The following is a 23977-nucleotide window of genomic DNA, read 5'->3' as shown; positions in this document are numbered from 1 at the left end:
GGTAGAGGTTTCTACCTCCCCAGGCCCCTCCTCCCCTTCTGGCCACAATTCCCAGGAACCCTTCTCTCTTCCAAAACCAGTCCTTCCATTCCACTGACCCCACGGACAAGCCCCATTGGTCTATCTCCTCCCATTGCTGCCTTGATCTATCTCCTCCCATTGTTGTTGACCCCTGGGGGGTGTGGCTTGGCTCCCACCTGCTGAGGTCTTAGATACTGCAGTGCAGTAATTAAAAGCAGGATCTCTGGAACCAGCTAGCCTGGGTGTGACATCCCAGCGTCTCCTCTTACTCCTGGTGTGACCCTGGGCAAGTCACTTTCCCAGTCTGTGCCCATTTCCTTGGATGTGATGGGAACTGTAGCATCTTGCACCTCAAACATTGTCGAGGAGCTGAAACAAAGTCATGTATGTTCAATGGCCAACACCTGCCTGGGCAGAGGAGATGCCACAGAAACAGGAACTGTTAGTATCATTCTGGCAGCAACACACAGAGAACTGAATATTTAGCAGTTGCTTGATATAGATTTCCTAAAAGACAGTTGGAGACCTTAGAGCAATTCTCTTAGGAATTGTGTAATTCTAGCAATCACCTCCTCTCTAAGCCTCAGTTGTAAAATGGAAATAATTTCTACTGCAAAGGGAGCAAATGAGATAGAAGAAGTTATATATAAACTATAAAATGCCATAAGATATTATAGCTACAATTAAAGGTGCAGGCAAGACACAGAACACACGGCATGAAAATATAACACAGGCCAGTGTTCAAGAATCACTTGAACCCAGGAGGCAGAGGTTGCAGTGAGCCGAGATCACACCATTGCCCTCCAGCCTGGGTGACAGAGTGAGACTCCACCTCAAAAACAAACAAACAAAAACAACCCATAATACAAATAGCTGCACACAACTCCTGGTATGAGCATAGCAAGTGGGCCCCATCATTCTTCCCCCACCAGCTTTACTGACGTAAAATTGACAAAAATAATGAAGCTGAAGGGGCCCATTCAGTGTTTTTTTTTTTTTTTTTTTGAGACAGAATCTTTCTCTATCACCCAGGGTAGAGTGCACTGGTGTCATCTCCGCTCACTGCAACCTCCACCTCCTGGGTTCAAGCCATTCTCCTGCCTCAGCCCCCCAAGTAGCAGGGATTACAGGCGCCCGCTGCTACACCTGGCTAAGTTTGTATTTTTAGTAGAGATGGGGTTTCACCATATTGGCTGTTGGTTAGGCTGGTCTCGAACCCTTGACCTCAAGTGATCTGCCCGCCTCAGCTTCCCAAAGTGTTGGGATGACGGGCATGAGCCACTGCACCTGGCCAGGGGCCCATTCAGTCTTATCTGGCTCTTAACTCCCCCCGCAGTGACCTCAACCCTGTAGGCCACAGCATCGTTTCTGGAAATGCATGCAGAGGCCCCTGAGCATTGGCAGTGGGTGTCTTGGGTAACGCAGTTTCTTACGACAATGTTGGGTTTCGGGCTTTCCAGCCCTCAGATTAAGGGCGAGACAACTCACTGAGAATCGTGACTGATGGAAGAGGCCGACTGTATTAGTCAGTTATTGCTGTGTAACAAGATTACCTCCAAATGTAGTGGCTTTAAACAACGTTATTGTATCAGTTTCTGTGGGGCAGGAATCTGGGTGCCTCTTGGCCGGATGTCTCCGGCTTGGGGTCTCTCACAGAGGGAGGCACCTCAAGGCTCAACTGGGCTCCACCTGCTTCCAAGCACACTCATGTGGCTGGTAGCAGGACTCAGGTCCACCATGCTGTTGGGCGGAGACATCATTTCTTTCCGGAGGGCACCTTTCCTCAGGCAGCCCACACAACACTGCAGCTGGCTTTCCCCAGAGCAAGATCCCTGAGAGAAAGAGAGAGATAAAGAGAGATAAAGAGATAAAGGTGGTGACTCACACCTGTAATTCCAGCAATTTGGGAGGCGGAGGCAGGAGGATTGCCTGAGCCCAGGAGTTTGAGACCAGCTTGGGCAATATGGTGAGACCGTGTCTCTACAACAAATACAAAACTTAGCCAGGTGTAGTGGTGTGTGTCTGTGGTCCCAGCTACTCAGGAGGCTGAGGTGGGAGGATCACCTGAGCCTGGAGAGGCTGAGCCTGCAGTGAGCTGTGACTGCGCCACTGAGCTCCCGTCTGGGCAACAGAGTGAGACTGTGTCTCAAAAAAAAGACGAAAAGTAAAAAGTGTGTCACATGGAAACCAGAGCCTCCCCCATTCCCTCTTTCTCTCTCTTTCTCTGTCTCTTGCTAATAAATAGACTCTATTTTTGTATTTTTGAGACAGAGTTTCACTCTGTCGCCCAGGCTGGAGTGCAGTGGCAGGATCACGGCTCACTGCAGCCTCGACCTGCAGGCTGATGATCCTCCCACCTCAGGCTCCCGAGTAATTGGGACTCCAGGCACATGTTGCCAAGCACAGCTAATTTTTTTATTTTTTGTAGAGACAGGGTCTCACTATGTTGCCCAGGCTGGTCTTGAACTCCTAGACTCAAGTGGTTCTCATGCCTCAGCCTCCCGAAGTGTTGGGATTACAGGCGTGAGCCACCACACGCGGCCTTCGTACCTTATTATTAACTCAAGTCCATAGTTTACATGAGGGTTCACTCTTGGTGTACATTGTAAGGGTCTGGACAACTGTATAATGACATGTAACTCCCATCTTGGTCTCATACAGAATAGTCTCATTGCCCTAAATATCCCCGTCTCCACCTACCCATTGCTTCTCTTCCTCCTCCTGAACACAGTCTCTTTTTGTAACTTCCTCTTGGAAGTGACATCCCATCACTTTTGCCATATTCTATTCACTAGAAAGAGCCAACAGGTTCAACCCGCATTCAAGAGACGAGCATGAATACCAGGAGGCAGAGATCCTTGGGGGCCATTTACCACGCCAACCGCATAAAGGCGGCCACAGCCCTGAGCTTGTCTTCCTGTGGGGCCCATGGTGGATGTTCACGAGGCTCACGCAGGAGCGCCTTGTTCCTGAGTCTCAAACCACTACCTGTGTGTGTACGAAGCATCTCGGTGCCAGGAAACCCAGAGTCTTCTCATGCTGGGGGTCTCCTATTCTGAGTTGGTCATGTGGGCACATTCTAGCTACGTGACTAGCTTTAAAGGTGGAAACTCAGGTGTCACCAAAACCAGGTGCAAATCGTAACCCCAAATGTTATTACTGAACAGTGCTGAAGGTTGCCACACTCTGCTCCAAAACAACTCACGGGCCCATGATTACAGAGCATTGTTTGTCTTTATGGATTCCATAGCAATGTCCAAGGGTCTGTAGTCTTGGAGATAAGCATGTAGTCAATTCAGGTCAATTGAGATGGACTCAAGCCCTATGAGCCACTCCCATGACCCTTGGTCAGAGGCTTTTAAAAATATATATCTTTTTTTTGAGACAGGGTCTTGCTCTGTCACCCAGGCTGATTGTGCAGTGGCACAATCTTGGCTCACTGCAACCTCTGCCTCCCAGGCTCAAGCGATCCTCCTACCTCAGGCTCCCAAGTAGCTGGGACTACTTGGGATAATTTTTGTATATTTTGTAGAGATGGGGTTTTGCTATGTTACCTAGGCCGGTCTCTTAACTCCTGGACTTGAGCAATCCACTTGCCTCAGCCTTCCAGAGTGCTGGGATTACAGGCATGAGCCACGGCGCCTCACCAAAAATGAATCATTCTTGATAGGTCATTGGATGGGGTATAAAACATTTAAAAAGTGAAAATTAAAAGGAATCATTCTTCATTTGGAAAGCAATGGACAAACCTGTTCTACTTATCGTCTCTTAGGGAATCACTCTATATTCTACACAGACTCTGGATTGGCCGGGCACAGTGGCTCATGCCTGTAATCCCAGCACTTTGGAAGGCTGAGGCGGGCCGATCGCTTGAGCTCAGGAGTTTGAGACTAGCCTCTCTACCAAAAAATACAAAAATTAGCCAGTCATAGTGGTGTGCGCCTGTAGTCCCAGCTACTCAGGAAGCTGAAGGGGGAGGATCGTTTGAGCTTAGGGGGTGGAGGTTGCGGTAAGCCTAGATCATGCCACTGCACTCCAGCCTCTGTGACAGAACCAGACCCTGTCTCAAAGAGAGGAGAGAGAGAGACAGAGACATTCTGGATACATTCTTTTTCTTTCTTTCTTTCTCTTTCTTTTCCTTCCTTCCTTCCTTTCCTTCCTTTTCTTCCTTTCCGTTTCTTTCTTTCCTTCCTTCCTTCCTTTTCTTCCTTTCCCTTTCTTTTTTTTTTTCTTTTTTGCTGGAATCTCGCTTTGTTGCCCAGGCTGGAGTGCAAGTGGCGTGATCTCAGCTCACGGCAGCGTCTGCCTCCCAGGTTCAAGTGATTCTCCCACCTTAGCCTCCCAAGTGGCTGGGACTACAGGTGCGTGCCACCACGCTGGTTAATTTTTGTATTATCAGTACAGACAGGGTTTCATCATGTTGGCCAGGCTGGTTTCAAACTCCTGACCTTAAGTGATCCTCCTGCCTTGGCCTCCCAAAGTGCTGGGATTACAGGCATGAACCACTGCGCCCAGCCAGATTCTGGATAGATTCTGTAACAATCTGTTTAGTTCATGCGTCCTGTTGGGCTGCCCTGCCCCGCTCCACGTTCTAGGTCTCTGTAGCCATCAAACACTGCATTCACCTGGCTGCTGGGATGTCCTGCCCCGCTCCACGTTCTAGGTCTCTGTAGCCATCAAACACTGCATCCTGTTGGGCTGCCCTGCCCTGCTCCACGTTCTAGGTCTCTGTAGCCATCAAACACTGTATTCGCCTGGCTGCTACGATTAGTCCACTGATGGACATATGACCCCTGCCAGGCCAGAGACCTTCTTGGGATTGATACGGACACTGGATACGGACAGAGGAGTAACTCTCTTTTCCTTACAAAATTATAAGGATATCAGTGGCTGTCTTTGTCATCCTGTGATGAGAACCTGCCTGAACATAAAGCTGATATGGAGGAGGCAGAGGTGAAATACGCAGAGAGAGACATTTTGATGACACAGTGTGACCTCCTGGATCCAGCCATGACTGAAGCCACAGGCAACCCTGGACTGTTGGCTTTATAAGTCAACCATTCCGGCCAGGCGTGGTAGCTCACGCCTGTAAATCCCAGCACTTTGGGAGTCCGAGGCGAGTGGATCACTTGAGGTCAGGAGTTCTAGACCAGCCTGGCCAACATGGTGAAACCCCATCTCTACTAAAACTACAAAAATTAGCCGGGCGTGGTGGCACATGCCTGTAATCCCAGCTACTCAGGAGGCTGAGGCAGGAGAATCGCTTGAACCCAGAAGGCGGAGGTTGTGGTGAGCCAAGATGGTGCTTTGCACTCCAGCCTGGGTGACGAGAGTGAAACTCCATCTCAAAAAAAAAAAAAAAAGAAAAAGAAAAAAAAAGTCAACCATTCCCCTTGGTCTGTAAGGTGGTTTTCACTGTGGTTTGTTTCTTGCCCTGAAGGAGTCCTCACTGCTACAGCCTGGGTGTGAGGAAGATATGCAAACTTCGAACCCAAGGTGTTCTGAGTTGAAGCTACTTGTGTGTTCCAGGAACCTTCACCCCACCTGCTTTCTATCATTATACGTTAAGCACCGGCCTTCAGGGCCCCGGCTTCCTTCCTGCTCCACTCTCTCCTGCTCCGGGGCCCCCGTCATTTGTTCTCTGTGTGTGAATTCTCTCTCTTGGCCAGCCACTGAAGCCAGATTTCGTTTGTGAAGCTGACCCTTCCAGGAGGTAAGGTCTACACCATTACTCGGGACAGTCTCTCTAGCAGACATGTGGCCACGTCAACCTGAAATACCACTGATGAAAACTCGTAGTTTGTTTCCTGGGTGCCAGGCGCCATGCTAGATGCCTCATTGCACTCGATTCTCACAGCACTAAGGCAGGAATTTGCAGTCCGGTTTTCAGATGAGGTAACTAAGGCTCGGAGAGGTGAAGCAATCTGCCAGGGGCCACAGTGCTAGCATGTGGTGGGAAAGAGGTGAATTCAGCTCTGGTGTCAAAGCTCGCCATCTTAGCTACTTTCCCAGAATGTTACCTCGCAGCTGGGAGATGACCACAGCCCCCACCCCTGCCTCTCACCGCCATGGAAGGCGCTGCTAAGCGACCGTCTCAGCCCAGTGCACCCTCACACTCCTCTGTGCCCCAGGCTCCAGCCACTGTGGTAGACCCGGAGGGCACATGAGATGCCAGCCCCGTGGCTGCCCTCTGTTCTGTCTCTGCCTTTAATACCCTGGGGCACAAGCGAGGTCCTGTGGCTGGCACTGGAGTATTTCCTGCCCCTTCCTCTCCATGGAGAGCAGAGGACAGGCCTGGCCTCAGCACAGGGAGGCCCGTTCCTGTCTGCTAACCATTCTCCATGGCAGGAGAGGACTCTTCCAAATGTCTCTTCAGTATATTTTGACAGGGTGCAAGGGCAAATGTGGAAACTGTAACTGGCCTTTTAAGGAAGGGTCAGAAGAGGGCTGCTCTGCCAGCCCAGAGCTAGCAGGGACCACGATGCCCACTTAACTTTTTTTTCTTTTTTCGGACAGAGTCTTGCTCTGTTGCCCAGGGTGGAGTGCAGTGGCACCATCTTGGCTCTGCCACCTCCGCCTCCTGGGTTCAAGCGATTCTCCTGCCTCGGCCTCCTGAGGAGCTGGGACTACAGGCACCTGCAACCATACCTGGTTAATTCTGTACTTTTACCAGAGACAGGGTTTCACCATATTAGCCAGGCTGGTCTCGAATGCCCGACCTCAGATGATCCACCTGCCCCAGCCTCCCAGTGTTGGGATAATAGGCCTGAGCCACTGCGCCCAGCCATTTTCACTTAACTTTCAAATGAGCATTCTGTGATGTCTGTATCGGCTTTAACCTCTCCTGTGTACAGTGTACATTCATTTTTTGTCTACCCCAGAACACTGTAACCTCTTGAAGGTCAGGAATCTCATCTTAGCCCTCCATGCTGTCCCTCTCAGACCCACGGTGTTGCTGAGGTAGCTGAGGCTTCCCCAGAGACCACCCTTTTCCTTTGGACCTTTCAGCTAGAAATGCCAGGAGAGACACACACACACACACACACACACACACACACACACACACCTTTCAGCTAGAAATGCCAGGACACACACACACACACACACACACACACACACAACCTTTCAGCTAGAAATGCCAGGACACACACACACACACACACACACACACACACACACACACGACCAGCCCTCGGCCAATGCCTTTGGGGAGTATAAATACCCCAGCTTCCTCACCCCCAGGTGGGATAATTCTAGAAGTGGGTTTCCCTGTGGAATTAAGCCCAGTATGAAAGCTGGCCTAATAGTCCCTGGAAGGGGGGCCAGACACAGTGGCTCATATGCCTGTAATGTTGTGGAAGGCCAAGGTGGGAGGACTGCTTGAGGCCAGGAGTTCGAGACCAGCCTGGGCAACATAGTGAGACCACACCCCCTCCAATCTCTACAAAAAATTTTTAAAATTAGCCAGGCGTGGTGGCACTCACCTATAGTCCCTGCTACTTAGGGGGCTGAGGCGGGAGGATCATCTGAGCCCACGAGGTGGAGTGCAGTGAGAGCTATGATTTCGCCACTGGTACTCCAGCCTGGGCAACAGAGCGGGATCCTGTCTAAAAAGAAAAGTCCCAGGATTGGCCGTCTTCCCTTCTCTGTATCACCCTCTACTCATCCTTTCTTCACCTCCCAGATAATCTACTTGCATTTGAACCCTCGTCTCAGGGGCTGCTTCTGGGAGAGCACAAACGACGACAGCACGTGGCCCTCACTCACTGGCTACTTGTGGAGGGGAGGAATGTGTATTTAGGAGACGCGGCGTAGCGAGGCTTTTTATAATGGAGGATTAGGAGAGGACCATGTTTATGAAAGAAGCAGTATTCCTCTTGGGACTTCCCATGGTAACTTCCCAGGGATGGAGTTCTGGAACCCACTTATTTGAGGCCATATAAAGGCAGGCCATGCATTTAATTAAAACAGAAAAAGGCTCCAAGAGGTTCAGGGCATCGTCCTCCGGCCAACAGAAGCAGGTACCGTGTGAGGAGTTTCACCATGAGATTGAGACTTAAGAGGTAAATCATCTACACGCTTTCTTTTCTTTTTGGGGCAGATTATAGACATCTAGCTGTGGTGAGAAATTAAGTAACAGAGATGCTTACTTAAGAAAAAGGAAATTCTGAAAAGAACTCTGTTCACTAAATTGCTTATGTTCTCAAGGCACTGTGGCTCTCCTGGGCAACCGAGGGCAGCTTGGTGATGGGAGAGTCGGCGTCGTCCGTGTACCGAACATCTGTTTCCTTCAGATACGGGTCTCATTTCCTTTTATGATGATGGTTTTTAACACATAAACTTGTGGTGAGGAGGAATTATAAGTTTGTGAGCGTCGTGGGTAGATTTTCACTCCAGCAGAGTAGGAGCTAAGTCAGAGTGTAGAAGCTTTGGGGTAAGGTTTCCTTCAAAACAGAGATTGGGGCACTCGGCTTTCGACGTGGGCTGCCTGTGGCTGGAGCTGCCATCTTTGTCCGAGAGGTAGGGTAAGTTCTCAGGGGCCTCCTCGGCATTGGGGTCAGTGTGGAAGCCCTTGAGGGCCTCGGGGTCGGGGTGGAAGCCCTTGAGGGCCTCGGGGTCGGGGTGGAAGCCCTTGAGGGCCTCGGGGTCGGGGTGGAAGCCCTTGAGGGCCTTGGGGTCGGGGTGGAAGCCCTTGAGGGCCTCGGGGTCAGTGTGGAAACCCTTGAGGGCCTTGGGGTCGGGGTGGAAGCCCTTGAGGGCCTTGGGGTCGGGGTGGAAGCCCTTGAGGGCCTCGGGGTCAATGTGGAAACCCTTGAGGGCCTCGGGGTCAGTGTGGAAACCCTTGAGGGCCTCAGGGTCGGGGTGGAAGCCCTTGAGGGCCTCGGGGTCGGGGTGGAAGCCCTTGAGAGCCTCGGGGTCGGGGTGGATGCCCTTGAGGGCCTCGGGGTCGGGGTGGAAGCCCTTGAGGGCCTCGGGGTCGGGGTGGAAGCCCTTGAGGGCGTCGGGGTCGGGGTGGAAGCCCTTGAGGGCCTCGGGGTCGGGGTGGAAGCCCTTGAGGGCCAAGCACCGGTACCGTTTTCTCCGATTCAGTTTATAGATGCGAATCCTTTCCTTCTCTGCCTCCGGGTCAGCAAGAATTCCATCCCAACGCAGACTTTCGTTGATCCGATTCGCAAGGTTCTCTATTTCGGCAAAGTCGGGGAGGCTGACGGTGGAGGAGTCAGAAGGGAGGTGCTTCTTTTCCACTTTGCTCTGTCTGTGCTCTGGTTTCGGGCCACGCTCTTTGCAAGGACTTAAGATGTCATGAAAGGAGGAAGAAAGCGGCTGGCTCTTCAGGCTCTGACTCTGATGTTTATCTGCTGAGTAGATGAGCAGGTTAGTGTTTGTGGCAATGTCTGACCTTGGCCTGCTGGGGATGGTGCCAAAATCACCCAAGATGGAAGAGGAGGATGGGGGCCCCTCCGTACCCAGGGCTCAGGCTGCCAAGCCCACCAGCCTCGTGCCCACCTGCCTGTGTGATTTTGCTGAAATCATTTCAGGGCAGGAGGAACCATTCATTGAGCACACAGTCTGAGCCAGGCCGTCTGGGTAAAGGCGATCGGCCCTATTCTTCGGGTGAGGAAACCGAAGCTCCAAAAGGTTCAGGAACTTGCCAATGTCATGAGCGAGTGGCAGAGCTGGGACCTGAGTGCAGGCTGGGCCCCCAATGCCCCATTCTTTCCACTGGGCCGTGCTGCCCTCATCCATCCTCGCCATGTGCTCACCACGGCCATTCCCAGTTCTGGGAGTCTGTGACTCTACCCTAGTCTAGACACTTTATGATGGAAGGAACGGAAAACAACAGAAAAGCTTCCTAAATTTGACTGAAAGCAGTATTATGCCAAGCCAGAAATACTTCTGCTGTATGGCTTGTACTGATTTTTTTTTTTAACATCAATAGCACTTCAGAATTATTTAACATGCACATAAAATGCTACAAATTGTGGTTCTTTCATCAGCTCGTCCTTTTATTTTAGGGGAGAGAGAAAGAAATCATCTTTTGACATTTCCCTCCCTTGCTACGCCCTGGAAACTATCTGGTGCCCCCTGCTGATGGTATGAGGCACATGTCACTGTAATTTCTACAGTGAAAAGCTACGCCAAAAGGACAATGAACTGCCAAATTTCTTTTTGCAGATACACACAGGGCTTTTTTTTTTTTTGAGACTGAGTCTCACTCTGCCACCCAGGCTGGAGCACAGTGGCACAATCTTGGCTCACTGCAACCTCCGCCTCTCAGGTTCAAGCAATTCTAGGTGCCTGCCACCATGCCCAGCTAATTTTTGTATTTTCAGTAGAGACGGGGTTTCACCATGTTGGCCAGGCTGGTCTTGAATTCCCAAAGTGCTGGGATTACAGGCGTGAGCCATGTGCCCAGCCACACAGGGCTTCTTGACCTGAACTGCAGAATTTTCTTGCCTTTGTATTACGCCTGAGAAGTACTTATCATCTTCCCATTGCTCCCTTCCCACACTGCACGGTCCATATGGGCGAGGCTGCCACTCTGCCTCCTGCTTGCCTTGGTGCCAGCTCTGCCACAGAGGGCCAGGCCCCAGAACTGGAGCTTAGAGCCCTCTCCCAGACAGCCAAAGCCACTGAGGTGGACCACACGGGCGACAGTGGCCTCACAGCACTCACGGGCACCTGCATTCTCTGTCACTGCTGTGCTCTCTCTCCTCAAAGTGGGTGCTCAGTCCCCTTGTCAAGAAATGTAGGGGTTCTACAAGAAGAGCTTGGTGAGATGTAGGGACTGGGGTTTATGGCAGGTAGGGTATGTGTGTTTGTGAAGGTGTCCCTGAGAGAGACTGCAATTCCTGCCTGCATATGACTACACACGCGAATGGATAACGTATTAACAGTCTGTGTGTGTAGACTAGGAATGTGTGTGCATGAGGGGGATCTGTGCTTTAGTTTTCTTGTTTGTTTTTTTGAGAGACAGGGTCTTGCTTGTTGCCCAGGCTGGAGTGCAATGGTGCGATCATAGCTCACTGCAGCCTGGAAGTCCTGGGTTCAAGTGATCCTCCCACCTCGGCCTCCCAAAGTGCTCGGATTACAGGTGTGAGCCACTGCGTCCCGCCCTTTAGTTTCACTGTTGGTGTTACATTGATAGAAGGTGGGGGGAGTGGTTGAGGGTGTCCCCCGCCCTTTAGTTTCACTGTGGGTGTTACACTGATATGAAGCGGGGAGTGGTTGAGGGTGTCAGGGATTATAGGAGGATGTCACAGTGACTGGTGTCATGGGGTTTGTGCAGTCCAAGGCTGCCCCTTGGTGGGTGCGAGGGGGAGCCCATGCAGCGAGGACCTTTAATACACACGTCTGTGGGTGTGGGTGTCTACCGCGCATCCACAGGCAGGCAGCCTTAACGCAAGAGGGTGGGAGGAGGGGAGGCAGGAGTCTGCCCTTCTCTGTGCATGAGAGTGAGGGCCTTTCATGTGGCATCAATGTGTTTGGGGTGGGGAAAGTGTCTTGTGAGGAGGGCCTCTGTGGGGAAGGCGCAGACGTTTAAGACTGCCAGTTTTGGCTGAGGGATTAGGAAGTTGAGAGGGTGTCTTTGTGTGGGGCTGGAAGGCTCTTAGGAATGGTGGATATCTGTAGGGGTCTCTGTGTGGGGCTAAGGGACCGCAGAGTTGGTGGATGGTCTCCACGGGTGGGGCTGGGGCATCAACGTGCTGCTGACGGGCATGTGTGGGGAGCAGGAGGACCTCGGTCCGGGACCACTGAGCTTCTGTTTCCGGTCTGAAGGGTAAATGGGGGGTGGGTCCCCAAAGAGTCTCCAGGGAACCGGAGCTGACGCAGCCGGGCTAGCTGCTCCTCTTACCGTCCCCCTTGCCAGACCCCTTGGTCTTCTTCTTCCTTTTTTTCTTCTTCACCTTCCGTTTGGCCAGCTCGGAGGCGCCGCCTGTGATGGGGGGCAGTCTAGACCCCCGCGGGCCCGCGGCGCCGCCCTCCCGCTCCTCCTCCTCGCCGTCGTTGTCCTTGTACCCCATTGTCCCCGCCCCACCGCGGCGGTCCAGCCGCCCGCTGGGCTGCAACCCAACCCGCCCCGGGGGCGCCCGAGGCCCGATGCCGACTAATCGGCGACTCTCAGCGCGGACCGCCAGGCCAGGGCCACGCGTCTCCATGGCGACCACCCCTGCTGCGCCTGCGCAGTCAGGACGCTTCCGCCCGGTGCCCCACGGACCGCGGTGTGCGCATGCGTGCTTCCGTCTTTTGGCGACCTTGGCACACAGCGGTGTGCGCATGTGTGCTTCTGTCGGGGATCTCGAGAACAGAGCGTTGTGCGCATGCGTACATCTGTCGGAGTGCTAGGTACGCAGCGGTGCGCGCATGCGTGCTTCCATCTGTTGGCGATACCGGCACAGCGATGTGCGCATGCGTGCTTCTGTCTGCGGAGACCTCCGCGCATAGAAGTGTGCGCATGCGTGCGTCTGTCGGAAACCTCCGCACACAGAGGTGTGCGCATGCGTGCTTCTGTCGGGGACCGCGGCGCACGGTGGTTCGCCCATGCTTGCTTTTGTCTGTTGGAATCTGGACAGTTGACCGCAGGAAGGGGAGGGTGGGCAGAGAGATTTTAAATCCCTGGGCTGACACTCATCTCGTCCAGTCCCGTGCCTCGATCCTCCTGCCTTGGCCTCCCATCCCCACGCCTGGCTAAGAGTTTTGATTTTTGGTTTCAGGCTGGTCTCGAACTCCTGGGCTCCATCGATCTTCCCGCCTCGGCCTCCTAGATCGCTGGGATCACAGGCATGAGCCTCCGTGCTCGGCCTCCTGTACCTTTTTAAATGCTGTGTATTCTCCCCTCAATTTTTATTGCCTGAGTTTCAGCCTCGTACATCTACCCTGGACTCTCAAAGCCAATGTGTCCAAAACAAACTTACTTCTTCATGGTTTTCCACTTTAGTGAACAAAACCGCTGGACTGGCTGGAAACCTGGTGGGCTTCCGTGTCCCCTACCCTCTCCCTTGTCCCTTACCCAGGCTGGGGCCGACTGCCGTGTCTGGCACTGGGACTTCTGGGTCCTCTCCTGAATGGTCTCTGCTTTCAAACCTTCCCCACGAACTCTTTTTCCGCACAGCTGCTAGAACAAACTTTTAAAAACAACCAAACCGTTCACTCTCTTGCTAAAAGTCTCCAGTGATGAAAAACAAAACATAAAAAGCCAAAAAGTCCTCCATTGCTTCCTCATCACAATTTACATCAAGATCTAAACTCTTGTGGGGCTCTGTGCAGGGCTGACACCCGTAGTCCCAACACTTTGGGAGGTCAAGGTGGGTGGATCGCTTGAGCCCATTCTGGGCAACGTAGTGAGACCCCATCTCTACAAAAAATTAACCAGCTGCGCTGAGGGGCACTTGTGGAGGAACTTGAGCCTGCAGTGAGCCGAGATCGCACCACTGCTGTCCAGCCTGGGTAACAAAGCAAGACTTTCTCTCTCTTTTTTTTTTTTTGGGAGACAGAGCCTTCCTCTGTTGCCCAGGCTGGAATGCAGTGGCGTGAACGTGACTCACTGCAACCTCTGCCTCTCAGGTTCAAGTGATTCTTCTGCCTCAGCCTCCCTAGTAGCTAGGACTACAGGTGCGTGCCACCACGCCTGGCTGATTTTTTATTTTTTATTTTTTGTATTTTTAGTAGAGACGGGGTGTCACCATATTGGCCAGGCTGGTCTCGAACACCTGACCTTGTGATCCGCCTACCTCGGCCTCCCAAAGTGCTGGGACTACAGGCTTGAGCCACCACGCCCGGCCTCTGTGTCTTAAAAAAAAAAATAACAAAGTGTGGCTTACAAGGCCTGGTATGATGCATCACCTGCTTTTCTTTCTAGGTTTACCCTCCACAGATTGTATTATCTGAAAATGGCTGCAGAGGCTGGGCATGGTGGCTCACGCCTGTAATCCCAGCACTTTGGGAGGCCGAGGTGGGTGGATCACTTGAGGTCAGGAGTTTGAGACCAGCCTGGCCAACATGGAGAAACCCCGTCTCTACTAAAAATACAAAAATTAGCTGGGCATGGTGGTGGGTGCATGTAATCCCAGCTATTTGAGAGGCTGAGGCAGGAGAATCACTTGAACCCAGGAGGTAGAGGTTGCAGTGAGCTGAAATTGCATCACTGCACTCCAGCCTGGGTGACAGGGCAAGGCTCCATCTCAAAATAAAATAAAATGATAAAATAAAATAAAACTGCTGTGCTCCAGCCTGGGTGACAGAGCAAGACTCCATCTCAAAATAAAATAAAATGATAAAATAAAACTGGCTGCAGTAATATCTCTTGTCCCACATACTCTTCAAGAATCTTGCCATTCCCATGGCAAGACGCAGAGTCTCATTCCGCTCTCCTTCAATTTAAGGGGTTTGTTGACTCGCTTGTAACCAATAGTATGTGGCAGAAGTGCCTCTGTGTGACTTCTCAGGCTAGGTCCTAAAGGGAATGCAGCATCCATCCATCTTCTTAGCCCATGACGTGCTTGCTGTAGAGTCCTGAGCCTCCCATTGAGAAGTCTGAGGACCCCAAGGCTGTCACACCTTGATAAATCCCCACCTAGTCCACGTGGAGAGCCTCTAAGATGTATGGAGAGAAAGATGCCTCAGCTCCTCCAGCCCCCACTTTTCCCATCCAGCTATCGTCCTGCAGCAGCAGCAGGAGAGACCCCAGGCCAGCCCCAAGCAGACAAGCCTTTCCTGAATTCCTGACCCAAAGAAGCTGTGAGAGAAAATACAATGGTTGTAGTTATTTAAGTTACGAAGGTTTGGAGTGATGTGTTATGCAACAGTAGATAACCAAATGTGTCTTTTTAAAAAGATATGGAATGGTATTTTATCTTTTATTTAATTTCAACTTTTATTTTAGATTCGGGGGGTACATGTGCAAGTTTGTTACATGAGTACACTGAGTGATGGTACATGACTCATGAGTACAATGTACATGAGTACATTGAGGTTTGGGGTATGGGTGATCCCGTCACCCAGGTGGTGAGTACAACACCCAACAGTAGTTTCTCAGTCCACATCTTCCAGCCCCTCCTCCCTCTAGTAGTCCCCATTACCCATTGAAAAATCAGCCTTTGATTTTAGCCACTCTAGTGGGTAAGAAGTTGTATTTCTCTGTGGTTTTGAATTGAATTCCCTTGGTGATTAACGAAGTCAAGAACTCTTGAAAGTGCTTTCTGGTCATTTGTGTATATATATATATATATGTATATATATATATATATTTTTTTTTTTTGAGATGGAGTCTTGCTGTGTGGTCTGGGCTTCCATGCAGTGGCACAATCTCCACTCGATGCAGCCTCTGCCTTCTGGGTTCAAGCAATTCTCCTCCCTCAGCCTCCTGAGTAGTTGGGATTACAGGCATGCACCACCACACCTGGCTAATTTTTGTATTTTTAGTAGAGACGGGGTTTCACCATATTGGCCAGGCTGCTCTCAAATTCCTGACCTCAGGTGATCCACCCGCCTCGGCCTCCCAAAGTGCTGAGTTTACAGGTGTGAGCCACTGCGCCCGGCCTGTCATTTGTATATCTTTAAGTGTCTTTTGAAGTCTTTTGGCCATTCTGTAATGTGGTTGTTTATTGTTGATTTGTTGTTTGTTGTTGATGTCTTTGCACAACTTGAATATAAGTGTTTTGTCAGCTTTATGACTGCAAAGATTTTTTTTCCAGGTCTGTAACTTATCCATTTTCTGAATGTGGTGTCTTTGGATAAGCAGAAATTTGAAATTCTGATAAATAATTTTTTTCAATTTTCAATTCATTTGATCAGTTTTTTCTTTTTGTATTGTGTCCAAGGATGCTTTGCCTGCCCCATATTGCAAAGACAGTGTGCTATGCTATCTTCTAGAAGCTTTATAGTTCTGGTTTTAGGTTAGGTTCATGATCTACTTCAAATTTATTATTATTTTTTGAGATGGAGTTTCGCTCTTGTCGCCCAGGCTGGAGTGCAGTGGCGTGATCTCAGCTCACTGCAACCTCTGCCTCCCGGATTTAAGCAATTCTCCTGCCTCAGCCCCCAAGTAGCTGGGATTACAGGCATGCACAAACATGCCAGGCTAATTTTGTATTTTTAGTAGAGGCAGGGTTTTACCACGTTGGCCAGGCTGGGCTTGAACTCCTGACCTCAAGTGATCCGCCCGCCTCGGCCTCCCAGAGTGCTGGGATTATAGGTGTGAGCCACCGCACCTGGCCTACCTCAAATTGATTTTGTGAATAAAGTCACATATAGGAGTCACATTTATTTTTTCCCAAATCGATTTCCAGTTTTTCCAGGAACTTCCATTGAAAAGACATTCCTTTTCCCATTGACTTGACTTGGTACTTTTCATTACGATTTTTAAAAATTTTTTTGGGATGGAGTTTCACTCTGTGGCCCAGGCTGGAGTGCAGTGGTACGATCTCGGCTCACTGCAACCTCCACTTCCCAGGTTCAAGTGGTTCTTCTGCCTCAGCCTCCTGAGTAGCTGGCACTACAGGTGCGTGCCACCATACCTGGCTAATTTTTTTTTTTTTTGTATTTTTAGTAGAGATGGGGCTTCACCATTTTGGCCAGGCTGGTCTCAAACTCCTGACCTCAAGTGATCCACCTGCCTCAGCCTCCCAAAGTGCTGGGATTACAGGCGTGAGTCACCACAGCTGGTCATTTCTGATTTTCTTTTCTTTTCTTTTCTTTTTTTGAGACAGGGTCTCACTGTTTTGCCCAAGCGGGTCTCAAATCTCTGGGCTCAAGTGATCCTCCTACCTTGGCCTCCCAAAGCATTGGGATTACAGGCATGAGCCACCATACCCAGCCTGACTTGGTATTTTTGTAGAAAATGAGTTAACTATGTGTTTGTCAATCTATTTCTGGACTCTGTTTTGTTCTGTTGTTCTGTCTATCCTTTGATCAATACCACATCATCTTGACTTATCATCTTGTATCTTTATGGTAAATCTTTTTTTTAAAAAAATACAAATAAAAAATAGAGATGGATTATCAGTATGTTCCCCAGGCTGGTCTCAAACTCCTGAGCTCACGTTGTCCTCCCGCCTTTGCCTTCCAAAATGCTGGGGTTACAGGCGTGAGCCGCCGTGCCCGGCCCATGGTAAATCTTGATGTCACGTAGTGTAAGTCTTCCAACTGTGTTATTTTTGAAGATTGTTTGGACGATTCTAGAGCCGTTGCTTTTCCATATACATTTTCAAATCTTCTGGTTTACTTCTTAAAATCCCCTTTGAGATTTTGATGGGGATTGCATCAAATCTATAAATCTGTCAGTACTGAGTAAATGACAGTCATTGGTGTGTGCGGACGCATTGCTCTATAAGGGGCCCTTCTGTTAGTAGGACGTGTGTCCTCGGTCTTCCCATCCCCTGGCAAGCTCCCTGATGTGTCCAGCACAGCTCGGCATGCAGAGTGTGCGGTATCTGCCTCTTGCCTGTCTGCTTTTGTCCTTAGAAGCTAAGTGAAATACAAATGGCAGAAGGCCTTCGTGGAAATGATCAGCTACCATCGGTCTCTCTGGGGTTTGCATTTCAGATGCCCTTTCATGCTCACCCTGGTACTTGCAGACAGGTGCTTGGAAAGGCTGGCTGCCCTCCTGCCCGTCTTCCCTCTCAGCTGGTCCTTCTTGCCTCAATGCTTACTTGGCAGGAGACAGTTTGATCATTTCTCTTCTGATTTTAGTGAAGGTTGTGTCGAGGTTATGTTGAGCCAGCCAGTGAGCTATGAAAGAGAAAAGTCACCTCAAGCAAAGGGATGCATTTTATGAATGCGTTTCATAAATAATCATAAAAAGGCCATGCAAGGAAAGCTAATCTAAATGTTTACAGGTATTTTAATTGTGCATCATTCCATTTGGTCTCCTTTGCAGTCTCTGTCTCCTCACTGACCCATCCCTTCTCAGCCCACTACAGTTGTAGTTCTGGCACCATCGTGCCATCAAAGCCGCTTTACAACGTCACCACTGTCCTTCCAAGCCATCGAACGTCACCACTGTCCTTCCAAGCCATCGAACGTCACCACTGTCCTTCCAAGTCATCGAGCGTCACCACTGTCCTTCCGAGCCATCGAGCGTCACCAGTGTCCTTCCGAGCCATCGAGCGTCACCAGTGTCCTTCCGAGTCATCGAGCGTCACCACTGTCCTTCCGAGCCATCGAGCGTCACCACTGTCCTTCCGAGCCATCGAGCGTCACCACTGTCCTTCCGAGCCATCGAGCGTCACCACTGTCCTTCCGAGCCATCGAGCGTCACCAGTGTCCTTCCGAGCCATCGAGCGTCACCACTGTCCTTCCGAGCCATCGAGCGTCACCACTGTCCTTCCGAGCCATCGAGCGTCACCAGTGTCCTTCCGAGCCATCGAGCGTCACCAGTGTCCTTCCGAGCCATCGAGCGTCACCAGTGTCCTTCCGAGCCATCGAGCGTCACCACTGTCCTTCCGAGCCATCGAGCGTCACCACTGTCCTTCCGAGCCATCGAGCGTCACCACTGTCCTTCCGAGCCATCGAGCGTCACCAGTGTCCTTCCGAGCCATCGAGCGTCACCACTGTCCTTCCGAGCCATCGAGCGTCACCACTGTCCTTCCGAGCCATCGAGCGTCACCACTGTCCTTCCGAGCCATCGAGCGTCACCACTGTCCTTCCGAGCCATCGAGCGTCACCACTGTCCTTCCGAGCCATCGAGCGTCACCACTGTCCTTCCGAGCCATCGAGCGTCACCACTGTCCTTCCGAGCCATCGAGCGTCACCAGTGTCCTTCCGAGCCATCGAGCGTCACCACTGTCCTTCCGAGCCATCGAGCGTCACCACTGTCCTTCCGAGCCATCGAGCGTCACCACTGTCCTTCCGAGCCATCGAGCGTCACCAGTGTCCTTCCGAGCCATCGAGCGTCACCACTGTCCTTCCGAGCCATCGAGCGTCACCACTGTCCTTCCGAGCCATCGAGCGTCACCACTGTCCTTCCGAGCCATCGAGCGTCACCAGTGTCCTTCCGAGCCATCGAGCGTCACCACTGTCCTTCCGAGCCATCGAGCGTCACCACTGTCCTTCCGAGCCATCGAGCGTCACCACTGTCCTTCCGAGCCATCGAGCGTCACCAGTGTCCTTCCGAGCCATCGAGCGTCACCACTGTCCTTCCGAGCCATCGAGCGTCACCACTGTCCTTCCGAGCCATCGAGCGTCACCACTGTCCTTCCGAGCCATCGAGCGTCACCAGTGTCCTTCCGAGCCATCGAGCGTCACCAGTGTCCTTCCGAGCCATCGAGCGTCACCAGTGTCCTTCCGAGCCATCGAGCGTCACCACTGTCCTTCCGAGCCATCGAGCGTCACCACTGTCCTTCCGAGCCATCGAGCGTCACCACTGTCCTTCCGAGCCATCGAGCGTCACCACTGTCCTTCCGAGCCATCGAGCGTCACCAGTGTCCTTCCGAGCCATCGAGCGTCACCAGTGTCCTTCCGAGCCATCGAGCGTCACCACTGTCCTTCCGAGCCATCGAGCGTCACCAGTGTCCTTCCGAGCCATCGAGCGTCACCAGTGTCCTTCCGAGCCATCGAGCGTCACCAGTGTCCTTCCGAGCCATCGAGCGTCACCAGTGTCCTTCCGAGTCATCGAGCGTCACCAGTGTCCTTCCGAGCCATCGAGCGTCACCAGTGTCCTTCCGAGTCATCGAATCCAGTGGACAACCTTTGTCCTTGTTGTCCCTGACCTGCCAGCAACATTTGACACTCCTGACCACTCTTTCCTTCTTGAAATGTTGTATCTGCCCGGCTTTTGGGACACCATCCTCGTGATTCTAGGCCATTCCGCCTCCTTTGCACATAAACCTTCCCTTCTAAAGGGAATGTCGAGAAGCCTCTGAATGTTGGTGTTTTCCGAGCTTGGCCTAAGGACTCTGTTCTTGAAGCTCTGTCTGTATATTAAGGTATTCTCATCTACATTCACAGCTGCAATCATGTCCTACATGCTGATGACTTCTAATTTTCTATCCTTAGCCAACAGCCCATCTATCCAGCATCCAACCCAGTCTCCCATCTTGCTCACACATCCCTGGCACAGGGACTGTTGGCTGCTGTGTTGGTTGTTGTGTTTGTTTGAGTTCCCCCAAATGCAAACTCTAAGACTAGGAATTGAGTGCAGAGTTTATCTGCGAGAGGGTCTTAGGAAACACGGGTGGAGGAGTGGGCAAGTGAGACAGGGAAGGCAGGACAGTTAATAAAGTTTTCATTATCCTGCCAGCTACCTCTGTGCTCAACCACAGCTCAGTCCTCTGGGAGGACTCTGGGAGGCGGTGCCAAAACATGCCAGTGATCCCAAGTGAGGGGCAACGAAGCTTCTCAGAAGCTGGGTGTCACCCACCACCTCTCAGAAGCTGACCACCACCTCTCAGCAGCTGGGTATCACCCACCACCTCTCAGAAGCTGGGTATCACCCACCACCTCTCAGAAGCTGACCACCACCTCTCAGAAGCTGGGTATCACCCACCACCTCTCAGAAGCGGGGTGTCACCCACCACCTCTCAGAAGCGGGGTGTCACCCACCGCCTCTCAGAAGCTGGGTGTCACCCACCGCCCCTCAGAAGCTGGGTATCACCTCTCAGAAGCTGGGTATTATCCACCACCTCTCAGAAGCTGGGTATTATCCACCACCTCTCAGAAAACGTGGCTTCTAGAGGCACTAACTCTGTAGCACTTCTGGCTTCTTCTGCGTGGGCCAAAAATGCAAGTGGAGAAAAGCCTCAGGCAGAGTCACAGGTGTCTGGAAGAAGCTTTCTGCAGGTAGAGGGGAATGGCGGGGGATGGAGGTGGAGAAGACATTGTCAGCTGCAATTGCCCACCCAACCTTTGCCCCCTTCCTGCAGAGCTCTGATCTTGTTCTGGTCCCTGTGCCCACCTACAGCCGCCCCGTATCTTCACAAGAGAATCCTGATTGGCTGGAGTCATTATGGTCATCCCATTCTCTTTGTCAGTAATATGTTTGAGAAATAACCTGTTACCCACTCCTGGCCAATTAGAGTTCAAGATCATCTACCTGAGGCTCCAGGGAAAGGTTTGCTCCTTCATCAAAGGGAGGAGGAGACACGCTCCTCTTCTGCTGCTGGGCACGGTCGGCCATGGATGTGTTGCCTGGGTCTGTGGCAAACATCTCGCTACAGTGACAGGAGCTAATTGGAAGGCAGAGCCAGTGTCCTGAGGACGGCAGGATCTCTGAGAACCCCAGTCCTTAAGATATACCCAAGCTTGGCACCAACTGAATGTTTAAGAAAGAAAAAAAAAGACACATCCAAGTGAAATTCTTGCATATGGGCACCAGGAGCCATCAAAAATGTTCATATCAGCATAGCTCATAGTAGCAAAAAGCTGGAACCACTCAGTGATATAGTCACACATGGAATATTATACATCAGCAAAAGGATGATCTATGCCCCCACAACACGGATGAACCTTGGAAACAATATTAAATTAAAAAAAGGGGCCAGGCACGGTGGCTCACGCCTGTAATCCTAGCACTTTGGGAGGTCGAGGCAGATGGATTGCCTGAGCTCAGGAGTTCGAGGCCAGCCTGGGCAACATGGTGAAACCCCATTTCTACTAAAATACAAAAACTTAGCCGGGCATGGCAGCGTATGCCTATAATCAGCTGCTCGGGAGGCTGAGGCAGGAGAATTGCTTGAACCCAGGAGGGGGAGGTTGCAGTGAGCGGAGACTGTGCCACTGCACTCCAGGCTGGGTGACAGTGCGAGACTCCATCTCTAAAAAAGAAAAAAAAAGGACGTCTGTTTAACACAAATGTATTTATGATACAACGATATTTTACAGTGCAACAAAAAGTGTAAACTGTAGGGCAGGGACAGTGGTGACCTCTTGGTGGGGGTTGGGGAGTCGGGGAAGGGAGGGGTGCACAGGACGATGAGACGGTTGGTTATGTTTGACTTCTTGGTTTGGATAGCGGGTTCATGCTTGTTTAAGGAAAAGATAAAGAAAGAAAAAAACCTGGATCTTTTTTTCGTTGAGGCCCAGGCTGGAGTGGAGTGGCGCCATGTCGGCTCACTGCAGCCTCCGCCTCCCGGGTTCAAGTGATTCTCCTGCCTCAGCCTCCCAAGTAGTGGAGTGCAATGATTGCACCACTGTACTCCAGCCTGGGTGACAGAGTGAGACCCTGTCTCAAAAAAAAAAAAAAAAAAAAAAAAAAAGAAGGTTACCAATACAATCAGGGGCAATGTCGTTCAAGATTTGGAAATGGGCAAAAGAGAATGCTGGGTGTCCTTTCTGTGGAATGCCAGGTGTTGCCCTCCTAACTCTTGGGGATTATGATTCTATGGGGTGCACCTTGACTTACCTTTCTAATAACTAGGCTATTTTACAACTCCATAGGGATAAAAGCTAAGCTGTAAAAAAACTTACAGTAATGCAAGTGATTCTTACCTACAAGAATACAAATGAATTTTGTCTGGCAAAGATACAATTTTGTCTGGCAAAGATACAATTCTATCCTGGAGAAAAGATAATCTCAAAACATTACATTTTATTGTACTGTAGGATATTATGGGTGTTAACCACTTTGCATTTATTAGCAACTTCATTTCAGCATTTCTCTAATATATTTGGCCTTGAACAACATGGGTTTGAACTGTGTGGGTTCACTTACATGTGGATTTTTTTCAATACATATATTGGAAAATTTTTTGGAGATTTGTAACAATTTGAAAAAACTAGAAGATGAACTGCTTAGCCTGGAAATATTGAAAAAAGGAAGAAAAAGGTAGGTCATGAACGCATAAAATATATGTAGCACTAGTGTATTATTTTAAGAGATAGGGTCTTGCTCTGTTGCCCAGGCTAGAGTGCAATGAAACAATCACTCACTGCAGCCTCCAACTCCTAAGGTCAAGCTGTCCTCCTGCTTCAGCCTCCCAGGTAGCTGGGACTACAGTTGCAGGCCACCACACCTGGCTAATTTTTACATCTTTTATTTTATTTTATTTTTGTAGAGACAGGGTCTCACTATGTTGAGACTCCATCTCAAAAAAAGAAAAAACAAAGGGAAAGAACTCAGCGATATAGTCATATGTGGGATGTCAAATATCAGCAAAAGAATGAACGGTGCCCCCACGACATGGGCACCAGGAGCTGTCAAGAATAGTTCCTATCAAGGAAAATTCTAGAAAATTTTCTCTACAAGAGACAGAGTCTTGCTATGTTTCTCAGGCTGGTCTTGAACACCAGGCCTGAAGCAATCCTCCTGCCTTGGCCTCCCAAAGCACTAGGATTATAGGCATGAACCACTGCACCTAGCCCAATACTAGTTTTTTAAAATCATTTACCACCATAAAATATACATACATCTACTTTAAAAAGTTAAAATGTATCAAAACTTACCCACACATTTACAGACCATGCCTGCAGTCAAGAGAAACATAAACAAATTTAAAGATGCAGTATTAAATATAACTGTATAAAGTTCACTGCAACACATCTTGGACTACTGTGATAATTTAAAGATGCAGTGTTAAATTGTAACTGTATAAAGTTCACTGTAGCCGGGCGTGGTGGCTCATGCTTGTAATCCCAGCACTTTGGGGGGCCAAGGCAGGTGGATCACCTGAGGTCAGGAGTTCCAGACCAGCCTGGCCAATTTGGTGAAACCTGCTCTCTACTAAAAATACAAAAAAAATTGGCTGGGCATGTTGGCAGGCACCTGTAATCCCAGCTACTCGGAAGGCTGAGGCAGGAGAATTGCTTGAACCTGGGAGGCAGAGGTTGCAGTGAGCTGAGGTTGCGCCATTGCACTCCAGCCTGGGCAACAAGAACAAAACTCCATCTCAAAAACAAAAAAAAAAAGATAACTGTAACACGTGCTGCACTACTGTGATAATTTAAAGATGCAGTGTTAAATCATAACTGTATAAAGTTAATTGTAACACATACCGCATTACCGTGATAACTTAAAGATGCA

The 23977-nt window shown here is 50.4% G+C and overlaps 1 protein-coding gene and 1 long non-coding RNA gene across 2 annotated transcripts, besides 3 other annotated features; one reads left to right on the top strand and one right to left on the bottom strand.

The window, feature by feature from the left end:
- Nucleotides 5691–5840: an enhancer, noted in NCBI's record as "active region_11437". NCBI's record gives its function as "activates an Ori minimal core promoter by ATAC-STARR-seq in GM12878 lymphoblastoid cells {active_cell/tissue: GM12878}" and the evidence as "EXISTENCE:reporter gene assay evidence [ECO:0000049][PMID:35858748]".
- Nucleotides 7859–12200, bottom strand: LIAT1 (ligand of ATE1). Its single transcript, NM_001013672.5, has 2 exons — nucleotides 11879–12200; nucleotides 7859–9377 (listed from the first exon to the last, which is right to left on the bottom strand). Exons 1-2 carry the CDS (start codon nucleotides 12180–12182, stop codon nucleotides 8410–8412), a joined length of 1272 nt encoding a protein of 423 aa, NP_001013694.4. The 5' UTR covers nucleotides 12183–12200; the 3' UTR covers nucleotides 7859–8409.
- On the top strand, nucleotides 8502–17990 carry LOC105371430 (uncharacterized). Its single transcript, NR_136407.1, has 3 exons — nucleotides 8502–8546; nucleotides 9112–9396; nucleotides 17933–17990. It is a non-coding gene; the product is annotated as an uncharacterized LOC105371430 (long non-coding RNA).
- Nucleotides 12059–12148: a silencer, noted in NCBI's record as "silent region_7938". NCBI's record gives its function as "represses an Ori minimal core promoter by ATAC-STARR-seq in GM12878 lymphoblastoid cells {active_cell/tissue: GM12878}" and the evidence as "EXISTENCE:reporter gene assay evidence [ECO:0000049][PMID:35858748]".
- Nucleotides 18560–19759: an enhancer, noted in NCBI's record as "BRD4-independent group 4 enhancer chr17:252557-253756 (GRCh37/hg19 assembly coordinates)". NCBI's record gives its function as "activates an origin of replication core promoter dependent on BRD2, P300/CBP, MED14 and CDK7 cofactors, and independent of BRD4, by STARR-seq in HCT116 cells {active_cell/tissue: HCT116}" and the evidence as "EXISTENCE:reporter gene assay evidence [ECO:0000049][PMID:35650434]".

Source organism: Homo sapiens, chromosome 17 (assembly GCF_000001405.40).
Source record: "Homo sapiens chromosome 17, GRCh38.p14 Primary Assembly".
Lineage (NCBI taxonomy): Eukaryota > Metazoa > Chordata > Mammalia > Primates > Hominidae > Homo > Homo sapiens.
Note: the sequence above shows the minus strand (reverse complement) of the source record. Positions and strands in the feature narration are given on the sequence as shown.